Source organism: Homo sapiens, chromosome 2 (assembly GCF_000001405.40).
Source record: "Homo sapiens chromosome 2, GRCh38.p14 Primary Assembly".
Taxonomy (NCBI): Eukaryota; Metazoa; Chordata; class Mammalia; order Primates; family Hominidae; genus Homo; species Homo sapiens.
Window position 1 is genome coordinate 71009901 of NC_000002.12, and position 20702 is coordinate 71030602.

General features: G+C 43.8%; 1 pseudogene across 1 annotated transcript; it reads left to right on the forward strand.

The window, feature by feature from the left end:
• Positions 1 to 14174: 14174 nt before the first annotated feature.
• Positions 14175 to 20031, forward strand: OR7E91P (olfactory receptor family 7 subfamily E member 91 pseudogene; annotated as a pseudogene). The gene is made up of 3 exons (NR_002185.3): positions 14175 to 14300; positions 14406 to 14494; positions 19016 to 20031. The product of NR_002185.3 is annotated as an olfactory receptor family 7 subfamily E member 91 pseudogene (transcript).
• The last annotated feature ends 671 nt before the right edge of the window (positions 20032 to 20702 follow it).

Genomic DNA, 20702 nt, shown 5'->3' on the forward strand with positions numbered 1-20702 from the left:
CATCAAAAAACACTGTGAACTGAGTGAAAAGATAACCTATGGGTTAGGAAAAATGTTTGCAAATCATATCTCTGAAAAGAGGCTGATATCCATCATATATAAAGAACAGCTAGAACTAAACAACAAGAAACCCAAAGCATCCCATTCACAATGGTCAGAAGACTCGAGTAGACGTGTCCCTAAAGAAGATATAGCGATGGCCAATAAGCATCTAAAATGATGTTCAAAATCACTAATCATAGGGAAGCACAAATCAAACCAATAATGTGATACCACGCATTAGGATGGATATGATAAACAAACAAGCATTGGTGAAACTAGAGGGAAGTAGGAATGCTCAAATCTGATTGGAGGGAATGTAATACTGTGAAGTAACAGGGAAAACAGTATGGCATGTACTGGAAAAATTAGAAACAGAATTATCAGATGTTCCCGCAGTTGCATTTGTGGGTACCTACCAGAAAGAATTAGAAGCCAGGAGTGGAAGAGAGATTTGTACACCCAAATTCATAGCAGCATTATTCACAAGAGCCAAAATGTGGAAGCAACCCAAGGGTTCATGGACAGATGAATGAAAAAGCACACTGCAGTTCATTCATACAATGGAAGACTATTCAGCTTTAAAAAGGCAGGCACTTCCGGCCGGTGCAGTGGCTCACGCCTGTAATCCCAGCACCTTGGAAGACCGAGGTGGGCGGATCACCTAAGGTCAGGAATTCAAGACCAGCCTGGCCATTTTGGTGAAACCCTGTCTCTACTGAAAATGCAAAAAATTAGACGAGCGTGGTGGCGTGTGCCTATAGTCCCAGCTACTCGGGAGGCTGAGGCACAAGAATCGCTGGAACCCGGGAGGTGGAGGTTGCAGTGAGCCCAGATTGTGCCACTGCACTCCAGCCGGTGCGACAGAGTGAGCGTCCACGTAAACACAAAACAAAATAAAACAAAACAAAACAAAAAAACAATAAAACCAGACAGGCACTTCTGACACAGGGTGCAACACGGATGAACCTTGAGACATTCTCATCAGTGAAATAAATAAATCCCAAAAGGATAAACACGACCAAGCTCAGTGGCTCGCACCTGTAACCCCAGCACTTTGGGAGGCTGAGGCAGGCGGATCACTTAAGGTCAGGAGTTCGAGACCAGCCTGGCCAATAGGGTGAAATCTCGTCTCTATTAAAAATACAAGAATCAGCTGGGCGTGGTGGCGCACGCCTGTAATCCCAGCTACTCGGGAGACTGAGACACAAGAATAGCTTGGATCCACGATGTGGAGGTTGCAGTGAGCCGAGATCACGCCACTGCGCTCCAGCCTGGGCGACAGAGAAAGACTCTGTCTCCAAAAAAAAATAAAAAATAAAAAATAAAAATTAAAATTAAAATTAAACACGGGATGATTCCATTTATATCAAGTGTCTAGAGCAGTTAAACTCATAGAGTTGCAAAATAGAATGGTGGCCCCCAGGGGTGGGCGAGAGAGAGAGGAATGGAGAGTTTGGTTAATGGGTGCAATTTCCATTTTGAAAGATAAAACTGTTCTGGAGATGATGGCAGTGATGGTTGCTAAACAATGTGAATGTACTTAATGTCATTCAACTGTAAACTGAAAAAGAGTGGAAATTGTAAACGTTTATACTGGCCGTTCTATATGAAAGAATATATATTTATCCTTTGTATTATTAATACATGGTCTATTTTCCCCTAATCAAAGATGAACATTAAAGCAGTTGGATCTTGAAAAAGAAAAGCAAGAAGCGAATAATACACACAAGCTTTCTCCTGATTAGAGGAAGAGCCCCAAATCTTCTATGGACACTCCCTTTTCTCTTCTTCTTCTTGCATTATTATGAGGAAATCCTTAGAGGTTGGGGAACTTGGGCGACTCTGGCTAATGAGGAGCCCTGTGCCTTGAGCCCCCCAGGCCACAGAATAGTAAATACTCAGTCTGTGCCTCCAGCCCTGCAGTGTGAGGTTGCAGTCCTGTGGGCTCCACACCTGTCACCTGTATCAGGAGGCTCATGTCTCCCCCTGTCTTCCTGCCAGTCTTGAGGACGGAGTCTGAGCCTCCATCATGCACCACTCAGTGAGGACAGTGGACTTGTTCTCCGTGGTCATGGCCCAGCAGAGGGGAAGGGCGGTTCAGTGAGTGCTGAGGGACGGTCGGGAGCCTTGTTTTGTTTCCTCATCCTCAGGACAAACAGGAGAGTGCGGTAGGCAGATGGGAGGAGACCAAAGTGCACACTGTCAGCTCAGCAGACTGGAGTTTCTGTTCTTGGTTGTGGTGGGGGTCTCAGAAATCTTGTTCCAAATTTTGCTTTCCTCCCCCCTGGTTGACCTTTTCATAGACATCTCACCCATGATAGCAGGGGATAAGTCCCCCTGGGACCTGAGCAGTAACATCCCACTGGAATATTACGAATAATATCACAGTGTGTACACCAACTGTGATATTAGGAGTCCTATTTATTTTTAGGATATTAGGAGGAATATCACAGTAGGTGTACACAAATAGTGTGTACACCTTCTGTGATATTAAAAGTTATATCTCCCTAGGGTATTGTGAATAATACAGTGTGTACACCCGCTGTGATATTTGAAGTAATATCTCCCTAAGATACGACAAAAATTATCAAAGGCTGGACCCAGTCTGTGATATCAAAAGTAACATCTCTGTGGATATTCCAAACAATATCACAGGGTGTACACAGCCTGTGACATTAGGAGTAGCATCCCTATAAGATATTCCGAATAATATCACAGGGTGTACACCCCATGTGACATTAAGAGTAACATCTTAGGATATTACGAACAACATCACAGGGTGTATGCCCCCTCTGACTTTAGAAGTAATATCCCCCTAGAATATTATGAATAATATCACGGGTGTACACCCCGTGTGACATTAGGAGTAACATCTCCCTAGGATATTACGAAAAATATCACTGGGTGTACAACCTCTGTCATATTAGGAGTAACATCCTTCTAGGATATTATGAATAATATCACAAGGTGTACACACACTGTGATATTCGGAGAGATCAGTCAATGGGATACAAGGTATCATATCACAGAATGTACACGCATGGTGTGCACCCACTGTGATATTAGAAGCAATATCTCCCTATGATGGTATGAGAAATATCAAAGGGAGTACACTCTCTGTGATATTAGATGTCATGTTTACCATGGATATTACAAATAATATCACAGGGTGTACACACATGAGGTACACCCACTATGGTATTATTTGTACTGTCTTAGAGAGATATAACTCTCTAATATAACACAGAGAGCTATAACTCTGTAACATCTCTGAGATATTAAAAATAATATCACAGTGAGTGTACACCCACTGTGAGATTTACAGTAATATCTCCCTATACGACTACAAGTATTATCGAAGGGTGTCCACCCCCTGTGACGTTAGGAGTAACATCCTGGATATCAGTATTAATATGATAAGGCATACACACCCTGTGACGTTTTGTACACCCTTTGTGACATGAAAAGTCACACCCCCCTAGTATATTACGAATAATATCAAAGGCAGTTGATGCACACGGTGTACACATCCTGTTACATTAGGCTTAATCTTTTTCTGTGATTTATGAATAATATCACAGAAGGTGTACACACATGGTGTACACTCCAGGTGACATTAGGAGCAACATCCCCCCAATATATTAGAAATAATATTACCAGGGTTGCATACACATGGTGTACTCTCCCTGTGACAGTAGCAGCAACATTCAGCTGGAATATTACGAATAACATCAGAGGGGGTGTACACACATAACGTACGCAACTTGTAAAATTAGGAGTAGCATCTCCCTACGATGTTATGAATAATATCACAGAATGTGTACACACATGGTGCATACCCCATGTGATGTTAGGAGTTACATCCTTCTAGTATGTTAGGAATAATACCACAAAGGTGTTCACACATGGTTAACAGCATATGGGATATTAGGATTAACATCCCTCGAGAATATTACAAATAACATCACAGGGGCTGTGCACACATGGTGCACATGCCCTGTGACATTAGGAGTACATTTCCCTGACACATTACGAGTAATATCACAGAGTGTACACCTTCTGTGACATTTGGAGTAACGTCCCCTAGGATAGTATGAATAATATCACAGGGTGTACATCCCCTGTGACCTGAGGAGTAACATCTTTCTAGGATATCGTGAATAATATCACAAAACGCACAGCCCCTGTGACACGAGGAGTAACATCCACCTAGGATATTAGGAATAATATCACAGGGAGTACACCCCATGTGACAGTAGGAGTAACCTCCCCCGAGGATATAACGAACAAATACAGAGGATGTACACGTGTTGTGACATTAGCAGTAACATCCATTTAGGATATTATGAATATTATCAGAGCGTGAACATCCCCTGTGATATTAGGAGTAACATCCCCCTGTGATACTGGGAACCATATGATACGGTGTACAGCCCCTGTGACATTAGAGGTAACATTTTGTTAGGATATTATGAATAATATTCCAAGGTATAGAGCCCCTGGGATGTTAGCAGTAACATTTCCATAAAATATTAGGAAGAATATCACTGTTTGCACACCACGGGTGACATTAGGAGTAACGGCCCCTAAAACTATTATGAATAACTTCACAGGGTGTACACCCTCTGTGACATTAGGGGTAATATCTTTCTAAAATATTATGAATAATATCGCAAAAGGTACACCCTCTGTGACATTAGAAGTAACATCGCCCGAGGATATAAGAAATAATATCAGATTGTGAACCTGCATTGTGACATCAGTGGTACCATCCTTTGAGGGTATTACGAATATTTTCAGAGTGTGAACACCTTCTGTGACATTAGGAGTAACATCACTCTACAATATTGGAATAATACCACACGATGTACACCGCCTGTGACATTAGTGGTAACATTTCTTTAGGATATTACTAATAATATGACAGGGTGTACAGACCCTGTGATACTAGGAGTGACATATCCAAAACACTTTACAAATAATATCACTGTTTGTACACCACGTGTGACATTAGGAGTAACATCCCCCGAAACTATTATGAATAACTTCACAGATTGTACACGCTCTGTGATATTAGGAGTTAACGTCTTCCTAGAATGTGAAGAATAACATCACAGGATGTACACCCCCGTGACATGAGGAGTAACATCATTCTAGGATATGATGAATAATAGAACAAAGTGTACACAACATGTATGGTGAGAGTAACATCCCTCTGGGATACGAGGAATCATAGCACAGAAAGCGCACCACATGTGACATTAGGAGTCACATCCCCTTAGGATATTACGAATAATATCACAAGGTGTACACACATTGTGACATTAGGAACAATATCCAGCTAGTATATTGTGAATAATATCACAGCGTGTACACGTTTGCGATAGTAGGAGCAACATCTCCTAGAATATTACGAATAATATCACAGGGTGTACACACCCTGCGACTTTAGGATAATCATCCCCCTGGATAACTACAAATAATTTCACAGGATGTTAAACCCCTGTGACAATAGGAATAATATACTTCTGGGATATGATGAAAAATATCACAGTGTACACCCACTGTGATATTAAAAGTTATATCTCCCTCAGATATTGTGAATAATATCACAGGGTGTACACCATGTGTGCACACCCACTGTGATTTTTAAAGTAATATCTCCTTAGGATATTATGAATAATATCAAGGGGTGTACACACCCTATAACATTAAGATAACATCCCTTTAGGATATTCGAAATAATATCCCAGGGTGTACACCCCATGTGACATTACGAGTAACATCTTCCTAGGATATTACGAATAAGATCCCAGGGTTGACATCCCCTGTGATTTTAAAAGTAAAATCCCCCCCAGAATATTCCTGATAATAACACAGGGTGTACACCCCTGTGACATTAGGGGTAATCCTCCCAGGATATTACGAATAATATCAGAAGGTGTACACACATGGTGACATTAGTAGTAATATCCTGCTAGTATACTGTGAATAATATCACAGGGTATACACACCTGTGACATTAGGAGTAACATCCACCCTGGAATATTCCAAATAATATCACAGGGCATACACCTCCTGTGACTTTAGGAGTATCATCCCGCTAAGATATTAGGAATAATATCACAGGGGGTTAGGCTGTGTAATATCACAGGGTGTACACGCCCTGTGACATTAGGAGTAACATCTTTCTAGAACATCACGAGTAATATCACAACGTGTGCACCCCCTGTGACATTAAAAGTAAAATCCCCCTAAGATATTCCGAATATTATCACAGGGAGTACACCCCGTGTGACATAGGAGTAATAACCCATGAGGATATAACGAATAATATCAGAGGGTGTACACATATTGTGACATTAGTAGTAACATCTCGCTAGGATATTACAAATAATAGCACAAGGTGTACACCCCGGGTGACATTAATTTCTGTAACATTCCCCTAGAAGATGACCAATAACATGACAGGGTGTAGAACACCTGTGATTTATGAGTAACATTTCTATAGAATATTACAAGTAATAACATTCGGTGTGCACCCCGTGTGACATTAGGAGTAACATCCCACAAAACTGTGATGAATAATTTCAAAAGGTGTACACCGTCTGTGACATTAAAAGTAACATCACGCTAGGATATTACGAATAATATCACAGGGTGTACAGCCCCTGTGACATGAGGAGTAATGTCTTTTTAGGATATGACGAATAAGATAACAAGATGTACACACCCTGTGACATTAGGTGTAACCTCTGTCTAGGAGACTATGAATACTATCGCAGCAAACACACCCCCTGTTATAATAGGAGTCACATCCCCATGCGATATTATGAATAATATCACAAGGTGCACACACATTGTGACTTCAGGGCTAATATCTCTCTCATATACTGTGAATAATATCACAGGGTGTACACCCCTGTGATATTACCTTACGGGTAACATCTCCCTAGAGTATTACGAATAATATCATGGGGGTACACACGCCTTTGGTTTAGGAGTAATATTCCCCTAGGATATGACAAATAATATCACAGTGTGTTCACTCACTGTGATATTAGGAGTCCCATTTTCCTAGGATATTATGAATAATATCACAGTAGGGGTTTCACATAATGTGTACACCCTGTGTGTACACCCAATGTGATATTTGAAGTCATATATTCCTAGGATCTTACGAATAACATCAAAGGGTGTACACCCCATGTGACATTAAAAGTAACGTCCCTTTTGGATATTCCAAATGCTATCACAGGGTGTGATATGAGGAGTGTGATATTAGGAGTAACCTCTTCCTAGGATAACCCATGTGATATTAGGAGTAACCTCTTCCTAGGATATTATGAATAACATCACAGGGTGTACACCCCTGTGACTTTAAAAGTAACACCCCCTAGAATATTACGAATAATATAACAGGGTGTACACCCCCTGTGACAGTAGGAGTAACATCTCCCTAGGATATTATGAATAATGTCACTGGGGGCATGCCCTCTCTCATATTAGCAGCAAGATCTTTCCAGGATATTATGAATGATATCACAGGGTGTACACTCACTGTGATCTTAGAAGGAATATCTCCCTAGGACATAAGCTATCATATCACAGAGTGTACACACATGGTGTACAGCCACTGTGTTATTAGAAGCAATATCTCCCTATGATATTATGAAAAATACCACAGGGTGTACCCCCTGTGGGATACCAGAAGTAATGTTTACCATGGATATTACAAATAATATCACAGGGTGCACAGAGATGGGGTACACCCACTGGGATATAAGGAGTTATAGCTCTCTAAGATATTACCAATAATATCCCAGGGGGTGTACCCCATGTGTGTACACCCACTGTGATATTTAAAGTAATATCTCTCTATAAGATTGCAAGTAATATCGAAGGGTATACACCCCCTGTGACATTAGGAGTAACATAACCCTACAATATTGGGAACAATATGACATAGTGTACACCCCTGTAATCTTAGGACTAACATCCCCCCAGAATATTACTAATAATGTCACAAGGTGTACACGCATTGTGACATTAGTGGTAGTATCCTGCTAGCATACTTTCAATAATATCACAGAAGGAACACACCTGTGACATTAAGAGTCACATCCTCCTGGAATAGGAAGAATAATATCACAGGGTGTACACTCCCTGTGACATTAGGAGTATCATCTCGCTAGAATATTATGAATAATGTCAGAGGAAGTTATCTTTTGTGACATTAGGAGTATAGACCCCTGGGAAATTATGAATACTATCACAGGGTGTACACCCCTGTGACATTAGGAGTAACATCTTTCTAAACTATCATGAATAATATCACAACGTGTACAGGCCCTGTGTCAAGAAAAGTAAAATTGCCCCAGGATATTACGAAATATAACACAGGGAGTACACCCCGTGTGACATTAGAAGTAACATCCCCCGAGGATATGACGAAGAATATCAGAGAATGTACCTGCATTGGGACATCAGTAGTAACATCTCTTTAGGATAATATGAATAATATCAAAGGGTGTACACACATTGTGAAATTAGTAGTGAACTCCCGCTAGGATATTACGAATTTTCTGAAAGGGTCTACAGGCCTGGTGACATTAGTAGTAACGTTTTCCTAGAATATTACGAAGAATATTAAAGAGTGTACAGGAACTGTGATTTACGACTAACATTTCTATACAATATTACACGTAACACCACTGTGGGTACACCCCCGGTGACATAAGGAGTAACATCCCACAAAACCATACCAAATAAGTTCATAAGGTGTACACCCTCTGTGACATTAAAAGTCACATTTCCCTAGAATATGACGATAATATCGCAGAGTGTACACACTCTGTGATATGAGTAGTGACATCTTTAGGATAATATGAGTAATTTGACAAGGTGTACAACCCTGTGACATAAGGAGTGACATCCCACTAGGAGGTTACCAATAATATCAAAGGGAACATACCCCAAGTGACCATAAAAGTAACCTCCACGTAGGAGATTAAGAAGAATACCACAAGCTGTACACACATTGGGACATTATTATTAACGTCCCGAAAGGATTTAGCGAATAATATCAGAGTGTGTAGAGTGCGGTGACATCAGGAGTAACGTTCCCCTACAATATTACGAATAATACAGCAGGGTGTAAATCTCGTGTGACTTTAGCAGTGCTATGTTGCTGGAATATGGAAAATAATGTCCCAGGGTGTTAACCAAGGGTGGCAGGATAGAAAACATCCTAGGAATCACTGAATAATATCTTCTAATGTCACACGGGGTGTATTCCCTGTGTTATATTTCGTAATATCCCAGGGAAAATTTACTTTTAATGACACAGTCGGTGTACATATGTGGATAGAAATATCACACCCCTCTTGCCCCCCTGGCTCTTAGGACCCCCATCGCAGGGGGGTGAGGCACGACCCGCGGTGGTCTCACAGCTTGTTGACCGTATTGTGAGTAATATCATCTCCCCCTCTGGATATTATGAACTGTTTCACAGACGGGTGTGCACCCTCAGTGTACAGAGGGTGTTCACCCGTCTCTATTGGGTGTAATATCATCCTCTTCCTCCCTGAATATTAAGAACAGTACCACGGGGGTGTTTCTACTCCCTGTGGTATCGCGTGCCATATCCTTCTCTCCCACGTTCCCATTAGAAACAATATCAGTGTGGGAGTGTCCACCTTCTGTCCTGTTGAACGTAATATCATCCTCTTCCCTCCAGGATCATGGAAACTAAATCCCTGGGGGGTGTGGACTTTCTGCCATATATGTCGTCATATCACCCCCTCCGCCTTGGAATATTATTAAGGACCATCTCACACGGGGGTGTACACTTCCTGCAATACTGGGAGTAATATCATGCTCTTCTTCCGTGAATATTAGGAGCAAAATCACCGGGTGGATGCCCACCCAGTGCTATATTGGGAGTAATATCATACTCCAGCCCCTGGAGATTATATTCGGATCAATATCACCGGCTGGGTTTACAACTACTGCGATATTGGACGTAATATCATGCTCTCTCCCTCCCTGGACATTAGGAGCAATATCACAGGTGGGTGTACACCCACTGAGGTATTAGACGTAATAGTAGGATGAATTATTCCTCATTTATTTTTAACATGAATATGAATGACCGATATTAATATTAATATTAAGAAATAATTGCTAATAAAGTTTTCAGATTAATATTAATATTAATTATTAGGAGCTAATATTACTGTTTTCTAATGAATAAGATCAATATCAGTTATTAATATCAGGCAACATTAATCATTAATATTAATCATGTATTGTTATCGTTAGTATAACTATTTAATATTATCATTATCATCGGTATTGATTTTAAAAATTATATTATCAGTTATTAATATTGATAATTATTAGTGTCAATTAATAATTGAGATTATTAATTTCGGTAAGTCGCATTGCGCCGTTCCACCCCTCCCCCGGCAGCTCCTTTACGGCCCAAAACGGGGATACAAATGTCCCCGAGAGAACAGCGGTATACTGGGATAGATGAGGATGGTCACGTGGTGGAGAGGCGTGTTTTTGGCTACCAGCCCTTCACCTCCGTCGACCTTCTCAACTGGAAAAGCAATACACCGCCCTATACCGAAAAGCCACAAGCCCTAATTGATTTGCTCCAAACTGTTATCCAGACCCACAACCACACCTGGGCTGATTGGCACCAGTTGCTCATGTTCCTCTTTAACAGCGAAGAAAGGCGGAGAGTCCTCCAAGCAGCAACTAAGTGGCTGGAGGAACATGCACCAGCTGATTACCAAAACCCCCAAGAGTATGTAAGGACCCAGTTACCAGGAACTGACTCCCCCAGTTGGACCCACATGAAAGAGAGGATATGCAAAGGCTAAACCGAGACAGGGAAGCTCTCTTGGAAGGATTAACGAGGGGAGCTCAGAAGGCCACAAACGTTAACAAGGTCTCTGAGGTCATTCAGGGCAAAGAAGAAAGTCCAGCACAATTCTACGGAGACTGTGTGAGGCCTATCGTATGTATACTCCCTTTGATCCCGATAGCCCTGAAATCAGCGCATGATTAACATGGCTTTAGTCCATCAAAGCGCAGAAGACATGCGAAGAAAACTGCAGAAACAGGCTGGGCTTGCAGGGATGAATACATCACAATTACCAGAAATAGCTAGCCAGGTGTTTGTAAACAGGGATGCAGTAAGCCGTAAGGAAAATGGCAAAGAGAATGGAGGTCAGGCCCGGCGAAACACCGACCTGTTTGTTAGCTGCAGCAATCACAGGGGGTCCCCCCAGAGAGGCAAGGGAAGGGGGGCCCTGGGAAAGAAACTCAGCTTGGCTGTCAGAGTTTGCAGCGTAACCAGTGGGCTTCTTGTAAAGAAACAGGACAGTGGAAGAACAAATGCCCTCAGCTCAAAAGAAAACAAGGTGACTCAGAGCAGGAGGCCCCGGACAGGGAGGAAGGGGCCCTGCTCAACCTGGCAGAAGGGTTATTGGACTGAGGGAGACCGGGCTCAAGCGTCCCCAAAGAGCCTCTGGTCAGAATGACAGTCGGGGGTAGAGACATTGATTTTCTTGTAGGTAGCGGTGCTGAACATTCGCTAGTAACCGCCCTGGTCGGCCCCTTATCCAAAAAGACTATTGACGTCATCGGAGCCACGGGGGTTTCAGCAAAGCAAGCTTTCTGCTTGTCTCGGACTTGTACTGTAGGAGGACGTAAAGTCATTCATCAGTTTTGGTACATGCCTGACTGTCCCTTGCCCTTTTTGGGAAGGGACTTGCTCAGCAAGCTGAGAGCCACTATCTCTTTGACAGAGCACGGCTCTTTGCTGCTAAAGGTACCCGGAACGGGAGTCATTATGACCCTTACGGTCCCCCGAGAGGAGGAATGGAGACTTTTCTTAACTGAGCCGGGTCAAGAGAGAAGACCAGCTCTGGCTTAGCGGTGGTCAAGAGTACGGGTGGAAGACATCCCTCTGGGATTGGCCAGTTAATACTGGGGCCCAGCCGGTTAGGCAAAAACAGGACCCGGTCCCCAGAGAAGCTCTTCAAGGTATCCAGGTCCGTCTCGAGCACCTAAGAACTTTTGGAATTATTGTTCCTTGTCAGTCTCCATGGAACACTCCCCTCCTGCCTGTTCCCAAGCCACGGACCAAGGACTACCGGCCGGTACAGGATTTGCGCTTGCTTAATCAAGCTACACTGACTTTACATCCAACAGTACCTAACCCATCCACATTGTTGGGGTTGCTGCCAGCTGAGGACAGCTGGTTCACCTGCTTGGACCTGAAAGATGCTTTCTTTCCTATCAGATTAGCCCCTGAGAGGCAGAAGCTATTTGCCTTTCAGTGGGAAGATCCGGAGTCAGGTGTCAGTACACTGAGTAGTGTACACTTGGACCGGGCTTCCCCAAGGGTTCAAGAACTCCCCCACCATCTTCGGGGAGGCGTTGGCTCAAGACCTCCAGAAGTTTCCCACCAGAGACCTAGGCTGCATGTTGCTCCAGTAGGTTGATGACCTTCTGCTGGGACACCCCACGGCAGTCGGGTGCACCAAGGGAACAGATGCCCTACACCGGCACCTGGAGGACTGTGGGTATAAGGTGTCCAAGAAGAAAGCTCAGATCTGCCGACAGCAGGTACCTTACTTGGGATTTACTATCCGACAGGGGTCGGAACGGAGGCCGGGATAAGAAAGAAAGCAGGTCATTTGCAATCTACCCGAGCCTAAAGGCAGAAGGCAGGTGAGAGAATTCTTAGGAGCTGTGGGGTTTTGCAGACTGTGGATCCCAAACTTTGCAGTATTAGCCAAGCCTTTGTAGGAGGTCACAAAGGGGGCAGGGACCGGGAACCTTTGGAATGGGGATCCCAACAACAGCAAGTCTTTCATGAGTTAAAGGAACAACTTCTGGCAGCCCCAGCCCTGGGGCTACCCGATCTGACAAAGCCTTTTCCATTGTATGCTTGAGAGAGAGAAAAGATGGCAGCTGGACTTTTAACCCAAAGTGTGGGGCCCTGGCTGAGGCTGGTGGCCTACCTCTCTAAACAAGTAGACGGGGTTTCTAAAGGATGGCCCCCCTGTTTGAGGGCCTTGGCAGCAACTGCCCTGCTAGTCCAAGAAGCAAATAAGCTGACTCTTAGGCAAAACCTGAACATAAAGGCCCCCCATGCTGTGGTGACTTCAATGAATACTAAAGGACATCATTGACTAATGAATGCCAGACTCACCAAGTGCCAAACTTTGCTCTGTGAAAATCCCTGTATAACCATTGAAGTTTGTAACACTCTACACCCTGCCACCTTGCTCCTGGTATCAGAGAGCCCTGTCGAGCCTGATTGTGTAGAAGTGTTGGACTCAGTTGACTCTAGCAGACCTGACCTCCGGGACCAGCCTTGGGCATCAGTAGACTGGGAACTATACGTGGATGGGAACAGCTTCTTCAACCCCCAAGGAGAGAGAGGTGCAGGGTGTGCAGTGGTAACCCTGGACACTGTTGTTGAAGCCAGATCGTTGCCCCAGGCCACTGCAGCCCAGAAAGCTGAACTCATTGCTTTCATTGGGGCCTTAGAACTCAGTGAAGGTGAGACTGTCAACATTTACACTGATTCTCGGTATGTCTTTTTAATCCTTCAAGTGCATGGAGCGTGATAGAAAGAAAAGGGCCTATTGAACTCTGGGGGAAAAGACAGAAAATATCAACGAGAAATCTTGCAATTATGAGAAGCAGTATGGAAACCCCACAAGGTGGCAGTTATGCATTGCAGAGGACACCAGCGAGCTTCCACCTTGCTGGGTTTGGGGAATTCCCACGCTGACTCAGAGGCTCGAAAAGCAGCATCTGCCCTCTTCCGGGCATCAGTGCTCCCTCAAACACCTGATCTTGGACCTACCTACTTCTTCTAAAGAAGAAAAGGACTGTCTCCAGGTAGAGGGAAGGACAAGTGATGGAGGAAGGATGGATTCGGTTACCAGATGGGAGAGTAGCTGTGCCACAGTTGCTAGGAGCTGCAGTTGTACTGGCTGTGCAAGAAACCACCCATGTAGGTCAGGAGTCACTGGAAAAGTTGTTAGGCCGGTATTTCTACACCTCGCATTTGTCAGCCCTTGCCAAAACGGTGAGGCAGCGGTGTGTTACCTGCCGACAGCATAATGTGAGGCAAGGTCCAGCCGTTCCGCCCAGCATACAAGCTTATGGAGCAGCCCCCTTTGGAGATCTCCAGGTAGACTTCAGAGAGATGCCAAAGTGTGGAGGTAACAAGTATTCACTAGTTCTTGGGTGTACCTACTCTGGGTGGGTGGAGGCCTATCCAACACGAACTGAGAAAGCTGGCCAAGAAACCCCTGTGCTTCTTCCAGATCTGATTCCTAGATTTCGACTGCCCTTACGGATCGGCTCACATAACGGGCCTGCGTTTTTGGCTGCCATGGTACAGAAGACGGCAAAGGTATTGGGGATCACACGGAAACTGCATGCCGCCTCCCAGCCTCAGAGTTCCGGAAAGGTGGAGTGGATGAATCGGACTATCAAAAATAGTGCTATACTATTGTCTTCCCCGCTGGATATTTAAAACAGCACCACAAGGGGCGTCAAACCACCTGCTAAATTTGAGGGAATGTTATCCTCTCCCCACCTCCCCCGGCCCCGGATATTAGAGACAATAACACAGGGGTAATGTACACCCACTGCTTTATTGGGAGTAATATCATCCTCTCCCTTCTTGGATATTAGGAACAATATCACACTGTGCATGTACGCCTGTCGTGAAATTCAATGGAATGTCATCCTTTGCCTCCCTGGATATGATGAACAATATCACGGGGGATGTACAACTTGTGAGATATTGGGAGTGATATCATCCTCTCCCGTCTGGAAGTTAGGGACAGTATCACAGGGGTGGTGTACACCCTCTGGGATGTTGGGACTAATATCATCCTCCCGCCCACTGGATATTAAAAACCATATCACAAGGGGCTTGTACACACACTTCGATATTGGTATTAATACCATCCTCTCCCTCTTTGGATATTCGGTGCCATATTTCAGGTGGGGTATACACCACCTGCAATATTGGAAGTAATAAGATTTTCTCCCCCCCGGATATCAGAGACAATATCACAGGGGGGTGTCAACAACCCCTGCGATATTTGGAGTAATATCATCGTCTCCCCTCATGAAGATTAAGAACAATATCGTAGGGGTGGGGGGTGTACACCCCCTTTCATATTTTATATCATCCTCTTCCCCCCTGGATATTAGGAACAATATCAGGAAGGGATGTGCAGACCCTGCGACCTTTGCTGTCATATAATTGTCTCTCCCCTAGATATTAGGAAAAATGTCACTGGAGATGTGAACAGCCCGGCAATATTGGGAGTAGTATCATCCTCTCTCCCCTTGCATATTGGGAACAACATCACAGGTGGGGTGTAGTGCCTCTGCGATATTGGGAGTAAAATTTTCCTCTCTTCCCCTGGACATTAGGAAGGGTATCAGAGGGGGACGGTGTACATTCCCTGCCATATTCAATGTAACCTTACCCTCTCCCTCCCAGGGTATTCAGAACAATAGGAAAGGAGGGGTGTACACCTCCTGCGATATTGAGAGTCATATCATCCTCTTTCGCTCTGGATATTAGGAACAATATCACAGGGTAGTGTACACCCCCTGCGATATTGGGAGTAATATCATCCTCTCTCCCTGTGGATGTTAGGAAGAGTATCACAGGGCTGTGTAAACCCCCTGTGGTACTGGGAGTAATATCATCCTCTCTCCCTCTGGATGTTAGGAAGATTTTCACAGGGGTGTGTACACCCCTGCGATATTGGGAGTAATATCATCCTCTCCACCCAGGAAATGACTAACAAGGTCACGGGGGAGTGTACTCCCCCTGCAATACTGGCAGTAATCTCGTCCTCCCCAAACCTGGATGTGAGCGACAAGATCACAGAGGGGGTGTACACACCCTGCGACATTGGAAGTAATATGATCCTCTCCCCACCTGGATATTGGGAAAGATATCACAGCGCGGGTATACATTTCCTAGGCTGTTGGGAGTAACATCATTCTTTTCCTTTCTGGATATGAGGAAGAATATCACAGGGGTGCTGTACAATTACTTCGATATTGGGAGTAATATCAGCCTCTATTTTCCTGGATATTGGGCACAAAAACACAAAAGGGTGTACAACCCCTGCGATATTGGGAGTAATAGCATACTCTCCTTCCCTGGATGTTAGAAAACAATATCATCGGGGCTGAACACCCCCCGCGATAATGGGAGTCATATTTACTCTTTCACAGGCCATTTGGAACAATATCACAGGGGGTGTTTACGAACAGGGGTGGTGTACACCCCCTGTGATATTGGGAGTAACATCATTCTCTCCACCTCCGGATATTAAGAACAATATCCCGGCGGGAGGTGGTACACCCCCAGTGATATTGGGAATAATGTCATCCTCTCCTTCCCTGGATATTAGGAACAATATCACAGCGGGGTGTACACCTTCTGTGGTATTGGAAGCAATATCATCCTCTTCCCCGCTGGATATTAGAAAAAATATCACTCATGGTGTACACCCACTGTGATATTAGGAAGAATATTACAGGGTGTACACCCACTCTGATTTTAGGAGAAATAGCTCCCTAAAATGTCACAAATAATATCACAGGGTATACAGTAATATCTCCCTAGGATATGACAGATACTATCACAGGGTGTACACCCACTGTGATAACAGGAGTAATACGTCCCAAGGATACTAATAATATCACAAGGCCGTACACCCACTATGACTCAGGGAGTGATATCTCCCTAGGATGCTACGAATACCATCACAGAATGTACACCCATGGTGTGCACCCACGGTGATATTAGGAGTAATGTCAACCCAGGACATAACCAATAACACCACAGGGAGTACAGACATGATGTACACCCACGGTGAAGTTACGAGAACTATCTCCCTAGGATAATACCAATAACATCACAGAGCGTACACACATGGTATACACCCACTGTGGCACTAGGACTAATAACTTTCTAAGATAGTACGAATAGCATCAGAGAACATAAACACATGGTGTACACCCAGTGTAACTTTAGGTGTAATTTCTCCCTAGGATGTTACGAGTAACTTCTCAGTGTGTACACACGTGGTGTACACCCACTGTGACATTAAGGGTAATATCCCCCTAGGATATGACGAGAAACATCACAGGGTGTCCACCCATGGTGTACACGCACTGTGATGTTAGGAATAATATCTCCCTAGGATATTATGAATAATACCACAGGGTGTACAGAAACTGTGATATTAGAGGTAATGTCTCTCTAGGATATGATGAATATCATCGCAGGGTGTGCACCCACTGTGATACTGGGAGCAATATCTCTCTAGGATAGTATGAATAATATCACAGAGTGTACACCCACTGTGATATTAGGAGAAATATCTCTCTGGGATATTACGAATTATATCACAGAGTGTACACACATGGTGTACATCCACTTTGATATTAGGAGTAATATCTTCCTAGGACATTACAAAGAACATCGCAGAGTGTACACCCACTGGAATATTAGGAGTCGTATCTCCCTAGGTGATTACAAATAATATCACAGGGTGTACACCCACTGTGATATCAGGAGTAATATCTTCCTAGGTTATTACGAATAATTTCACAGTGTGTACACACATGGTGTACACTCACTGTGATCTTAGGAGTAATATCTACCGAGTAGATAACATAGAACATCACAGGGTGTACACCCACTTTGATATTAGCTGTAATATTTTTCTAAGTTGTTACAAATAATATCACAGGGCGTACAAACAGGGTGTACACTCACTGTGATATCAGGAGTCGTATCTCCATAATATATTATGAATAATATCACAGGGTGTACACCCACTGTATTATTAGGAGTGATATCTCTGTAGGATATTACAATTAATACCCCAGGGTGTGCAGCCACTGTGATATTAGGAGCAACATCTTTCTAGGATATCACAGACAATATCACAGGGTGTACGCCCACTCTGATGTCAGGAGCAATATCCCCCTAGGATATCCAAAATAATATCACAGGGTGTACAATCTCTGCCTTCCAGGTTCTAAGGGATTCTCCTGCTTCAGCCTCCCGAGTAGCTAGAGTTACCCGCCACCAGGCCCGGCTAATTGTTTTTTATTTTCACTAGAGATGGGGTTTCACCGCGTTGGCCAAGCTGGTCTGGAACTCCTGACCTCAGGTGATCCGTCGGCCTCGGCCACCCAAAGTGCTGGGATTACAGGTGTGAGCCATGGCGCTCGGCCAAGAGTTATATATTCAATTAATTTGGAAACACAGCTCCCATATTTGAGTGTGCATGTACTTTTATGAAGAAATGATGTCAGAAAACCTAAGGATGATAATAAATATGAAAAGTAACTGGCATGTTAAAAGGTCTTCAGATAAAGAACTCTAAGCTTCGATTTCATTTTTAGATAATGCGGTCCTAGCTCTTGTATCATCCTTTTCCATATTCTACATCAAAGGAATTTGTCGCACGGTGTCAGAATAAAACAGAGTGTATTTCACTGCTTCTTAATTTCTTTCAATTAGGCTGACATCTTTTTCTTAAAGACAGAAGAGCATCTTCATTGCGTTTTATTCTTTCTGAAAAGAGTAGGCCGTATTTTACTGAGATCACGGATTTGTTATATATTATGTTTTGGTCTTCTAACATTCTTCAGTGGATTTTCTCTAAAGTAGTACATACAGAAGGAGTTGAATAGAAAACAGTAAATCATCATGGAATAATTCTGGGATTTTTGGGTTTGTCACAACTGAGAAATATTGCTGACGGTGTATGGTCCTCAAGTGTGAAAATGTTCCTTGTGAATTGCTTGCATCCAAAATATACACACAGCATTAAGGGCTGGTTTTTATCTTTTATTTTTCCAACCTTCTTTTCTTCCCAAGGTGTCCAAGTCACACAGAGCCACGGAATCTCACAGGAGCCTGAGAACTCCTCCTCCTGGGACTCTCAGAGGATCCAGAACTGCAGCCCATCCTCGCTGGGCTGTCCCTGTCCATGTATCTGGTCACGGTGCTGAGGAACCTCCTCATCAGCCTGGCTGTCAGCTCTGACTCCCACCTCCACACCCCAATGTGCTTCTTCCTCTCCAACCTGTGCTGGGCTGACATCGGTTTCACCTCGGCCACGGTTCCCAAGATGATTGTGGACATGCGGTCGCATAGCGGAGTCATCTCTTATGCGGACTGCCTGACACGGATGTCTTTCTTGGTCCTTTTTGCATGTGTAGAAGACATGCTCCTGACTGTGATGGCCTATGACTGTTTTGTAGCCATCTGTCGCCCTCTGCACTACCCAGTCATCGTGAATCCTCACCTCTGTGTCTTCTTAGTTTCGGTGTCCTTTTCCTTAGCCTGTTGGATTCCCAGCTGCGCAGTTGGATTGTGTTGCAATTCACCTTCTTCAAGAATGTGGAAATCTCTAATTTTGTCTGTGACCCATCTCAACCTCTCAAGCTTGCCTGTTCTGACAGCATCATCGATAGCATGTTCATATATTTCGATAGTACTATGTTTGGTTTTCTTCCCATTTCAGGGATCCTTTTGTCTTACTATAAAATTGTCCCCTCCATTCTAAGGATTTCATCGTCAGATGGGTAGTATAAAGCCTTCTCCGCCTGTGGCTCTCACCTGCCAGTTGTTTGCTTATTTTATGGAACAGGCATTGGCGTGTACCTGACTTCAGCTGTGGCACCACCCCTCAGGAATGGTGTGGTGGCGTCAGTGACGTATGCTGTGGTCACCCCCATGCTGAACCCTTTCATCTACAGCCTGAGAAACAGGGACATTCAAAGCGCCCTGTGGAGGCTGCGCAGCAGAACAGTCAAATCTCATGATCTGTTCCATCCTTTTTCTTGTGTGGGTAAGAAAGGGCAAGCACATTAAATCCCTACATCTGCAAATCCTGCCCCTTAGTCACATTATTTTTGTGGCTTGATGGCTTTTATTTCTTTCCGCGTTTCCTATGTGAATATTGTTTTCTTCGTTATGCCTTTAACTGGAAGGGGTGAGGATTCTGGGATCCTTTGTTTAGCAGAAACCTCATGACTGAATCCTCTATACCTAGGTGGCCTCCTTTAGTTTCTGAGCAATAACCCTGTCATCCAGGTGGAATCACAACCTTCTTTTTATATACGTGAAGTCCTCACTTCATTTTGGAATTCCCTGAAAATTGACTTTATGGAAGCAATGTACAGCAGGTCCTCCAACACCATTGGTGCATTCAAAGTTGTGTAGTTATAATGTTGGTGAGGAATAACTGGTTTCACTCTACCTAATTTTGCTTAAAGGTGAAGTTTCCAAGAGACTTCCAAAGATGTTAAGTGAGGACATACTGTATATCAAATTCATATCCTCTTCCAGAGTTCATGTGGAATTTCTTTATAAACTGCTTCTAGAGAATCTATTTGGGCAGGTTATGTGTAGAGATCCATGTCACTGGTCCTCAAGTTTGGCTTTGAGTCAAATCACCTGAGGAGCTTACAATTGATGAGGCCTGGGTCTCATTACCTGAGATTCTGATTTCCCTGCACCTGTGTGAGTATGTGGATTTTTTTTTTTTTTTTTTAAAGCA